This window comes from Homo sapiens, chromosome 6 (assembly GCF_000001405.40).
Source record: "Homo sapiens chromosome 6, GRCh38.p14 Primary Assembly".
Taxonomy (NCBI): Eukaryota; Metazoa; Chordata; class Mammalia; order Primates; family Hominidae; genus Homo; species Homo sapiens.
This window is the reverse complement of record NC_000006.12, coordinates 167441236-167445075: the sequence shown is the minus strand read 5'-3', so window position 1 is coordinate 167445075 and position 3840 is coordinate 167441236. Positions and strand designations below refer to the sequence as shown.

General features: G+C 46.8%; 2 annotated features.

Moving 5' to 3' along the window:
- Positions 1543–2412: an enhancer, noted in NCBI's record as "OCT4-NANOG-H3K27ac hESC enhancer chr6:167854881-167855750 (GRCh37/hg19 assembly coordinates)". NCBI's record gives its function as "activates a minimal SCP1, AML or CMV promoter by ChIP-STARR-seq in naive H9 embryonic stem cells {active_cell/tissue: H9 hESC(naive)}" and the evidence as "EXISTENCE:reporter gene assay evidence [ECO:0000049][PMID:30033119]".
- Positions 2413–3281: an enhancer, noted in NCBI's record as "OCT4-NANOG-H3K27ac-H3K4me1 hESC enhancer chr6:167854012-167854880 (GRCh37/hg19 assembly coordinates)". NCBI's record gives its function as "activates a minimal SCP1, AML or CMV promoter by ChIP-STARR-seq in primed H9 embryonic stem cells {active_cell/tissue: H9 hESC(primed)}" and the evidence as "EXISTENCE:reporter gene assay evidence [ECO:0000049][PMID:30033119]".

Sequence of the window (3840 nt, the reverse complement as noted above, 5' to 3'; positions counted from 1 at the left end):
GAGTTGACTCCAGGTGGAGTTCATGATGCCCTGTGGGCGCTGGTGTCACTAACTCCCTGCTATCCCATGGATGTCTTTCTCCTTGTGTACACTTGAGACTCAGCTGACCCCCTGGGTCTGCTCATAGAAGAGACCAGAATGTTCACTCGTTTAACCAACACTGCTGCTGAGAGTTGGGGAGCGTGCAGAGCCCACTGCAGAATTGGTGGTTTCTTCCGAAGGTCAGGAGGTTAGCAGAAGGTGGGAGCGGGCTTGGTAAGGTAACAAAGTCTGGAAGCTGAGTGACACCAAGTGGTCATAACTTTTTGGCGTGACCACTATTACCGGAGTGTTTGCTGTGTGCCAGGCTGGGTAAGTAATGGCAGGCAAGACGGGCATAGCCTACGTCCTTGTAGGCCTCACAGTTTAGCAAGACATTTATAAACAGTCTGAAATTGCCAGAAGGCTCAAGGTAGCTTATCTATATGACATTATTTCTTTGTTCATTCTATAGACCAGAGGTCCATGGGTTGTTGACAGAACCTCAAACCCTTTCCCCTGCAATGGAAAGCTATTTTTCAGATTATGATAATTATCTACCTGTGTCACAAAAAATATCAAATTGATATGGACAGGAGGCAGGGAAATACTGGGCAGAAGAGGGCAGTTCCCTGGCAAGTCACCACCCTCAAGCCTGGAAACCATAGCCCTAAATGAGAACAGTTATCCCTGTTTTCTTGCCCAAATGTTACCTTTTGGCCCACCCCACCCCCTATCCTGTGCCTATATAAACCCCAGGCCTCAGCTGGCAAAGAGACAAGTGGCTGAACGTTGAGAGAAGAAGCAGCTGAGCATCAGAGACTATGGATAGATGTGGCTTAACTTCAGACGGCACAGCTTCAGAGAGGAGCCTGGCTGCAGATGGCCGGGCTTCAGGGAAAGATAACCTTCTCCCTGCTCCATCCCACTTCCAGCTCCCCTTCTGCTGAGAGCCACTTCCACCACTTAATAAAATCCTCTGCATTCATCACCTTTCAAACCATTTGTGTGGCCCGATTCTTCCTGGACGCTGGACAAGAATTCAGCATGCACTGGATGTGGGAACCCATAAAGGCTGTCACACTGACTCTTCACTGAGCTGTTTAACACTTAAGCCATCTGTGGACGGCAAAGCTAAAAGAGCATTAATTGTAATGCAACCCTAGATGCTGCTGTGGGTCTGGAGCCCAAAAGCCCTTGCCAGGGTCCCAGCACCCACTCGCCTATGTGCTCCCTCCCATGAGGGGTTGAGTCCAGCAGGTTCAAGTGATTGAAGTTCGTCCCTGCTAGTGCTGAAGTGGCCAACTGGACCCAGAGGTGCACTCCAGTTCCTACCCATGAAAGAGTCAAGGAATTATCCCATCTCATAAGTGCCGTAAAATACACAATCCTTATATATTTCCTAAGTCACATATATGAAAGACTGCTTCCCTTCGCCTCCTCCTGTGCCCTCTAAACTCAGTTAGGGGATCCATCTATGAGCACCACCTTCTCCGGCTCCTTATGGATTTTAATTGCAATTGCTTCCCTCACCCTTCATCTTCCCCACCCACTCTGCCTTGACACTCCTGTACCGAGGCAAAGTGTTCTGGGCCAGGCAGGAAATAATTCATTCGTTCTGTATCTCAAAGCCACACGAATCCAAAGCATGACTTGTTTTTCAACATCCCTTTCTTGTCTGTCAAGAATGGCTGTGCATTTTGAAACAGAGGCTGTCTCGGGAGGGAACGCAGACCTTCAGGGCGGAATCCTGAATCTGGATCTGCAGCAACAACACAGAGAATAAAGCCAGGGGGACCTCCACCCACCCGGGGGTGAGATAGAGGCACAGCTGACAGACACAATGGCTCAATGACTTTTATTTGAATTTCAGCAATTTAACAACCTCCAAAAGGAAGCCAGTGAATACTGAACTTTTTACCTCCTCAAAGTGTATTTCCAATTGTTGTCTATATTGTCCCATGTTGTTGTTTAGTAGTGTGTCCAAATGCTTGTGTCACATTTTTCTCCATGTACTCTGCGTACAGTTTTCGTATTTTTGAAGGAAACTGCCTCCTTGTCAGTTTCAATGATTGTAGTGCTTTCATCATCCATAGCTGGCTAAACCGCAGTGACTTGGGGTTTTAAAATTAAGTCCATCATCCAACAAACATTTTGAGAAAAGGAAGACAGAAGAGGATCCCCATCCTTGAAGGCCTGGCCTCTGCTGCGGGACCCCCTCCCCCGACCCCGGCTGAATTTTTCAGGCCAGATGGTCCTTTTCTGCATCTTTTTTACCATTGTCAGCCATGAAATTTTGTAGGATGGCCTCTCTACTTATCTTTTTAAAACACCTTTTTGTTACATCAAATTCATCTTCTGTGGTATCTCATTTTCTTCAGATTTTCTGTTGCCTAGGAAGTTAAATAGGGGATTGTTTCAGGAAACGTGAGTAGATGTGGGCTGCTGTGTTCTCTGTAAGCCCTTGCCAGGTGGAAGGAGGGGCTGCTTTTCATCTGACAAGAATTTCTGCAGCAGCAGGGCAGGCTCATTAAGATTTTTCCCATGCCACATAACAAAAGATGGCTGGGGAATAACAAAAGTGAGATTCTGGAGTGTGTGTTTCTTTGTCATGCACGCCCCAAGCCTTGCTGAATCTCCCAGGCTGGGGCAGGCATCGTTAGGAGCAGCTGATTAAGTTTATTGTGCTTTCAATTAAAGAAAAGGGTGGCCCCGGGAGGAGAGGGAGTTGAGAGAGATACGAGGTTGGTCTCATTCGAAACACCCCGTGTCCTTAGTATTTACATAATGCAGAGTTAAGATTTTCTTAGATTGTCAAGGACAGAATCGAATCTCTCAGAACAGCACTGTGAATGGAAGTGGCATGCCTTTAATTCATAAAATGTCACCCTCTTGAAATAGTCCTTAGTATACGCAAATCAGAAAGTAGTCAGGAAAGCTTTTCAGCCCTGCGTGGTAACACGACCTTACATTTCCACAGAACCTTGCTTTGCATCTGTTGTTAACTCTCATTATCTTAGGGGATCCTTTCAGTATTTTGTCCAGTTTCCTGGGTTTGTAAATAGAAGCTGTGGCTTGCATAAGGTCAGGCAGCCGCTTTTAGGAATTGAGTCAGGCCTCATTTTTTTCACATTGTTCTTCAACCAGCTTTCCACTTCAGCTCCCGACTTCCCCAGCTGGAGAGAGGCAGGGCTCTGTGCTGCTCTGCTGTGCTGTTGGAGGGGTTTTTCCTGTCGATCTTATCCAACCTGTGTGATGAGCGAGCAGGCACCCTGTTCTGGAGGCAAACAGAAGAAAAGGCGGGAAGAAAAGGCCGTTTTTGGAATTCTGTGCTAATTACAACGTCAGGTAAAAGCAGAGTTGTTTTCGTTTTTAATTCTTATAATTCAGTAGGAGGCAACTTTGTGTTTTTCTTCGGTTTTTTTTTTTTTTTTTTTTTTTTTTTTAGGTGGAGTCTTGTTCTTTTGCCCAGGCTGGAGTGCAGTGGTGCTGTCTCAGCTCACTGCAACCTCTGCCTCCCAGGTTCAAGCACTTCTCCTGCCTCAGCTTCCCAAGTATCTGGGATTACAGGCATGAGCCACCATGCCCAGCTAATTTTTGTATTTTTAGTAGAGACAGGGTTTCTCCATGTTAGCCAGGTTGGTCTCAAACTCCTGACCTCAAGCGATCCACCTGCCTTGGCCTCCCAAAGTGCTGGGATTACAGGCGTGAGCCACTGTGCCTGGCCTACCTTGTTCTTTACAGCAGGTCATCCTGCTTTCTGATTGGGTGTTGACAGTTTTCTAGGCCAGTCCTTCTTAAAACCCTTGCTGTCCATCAGAA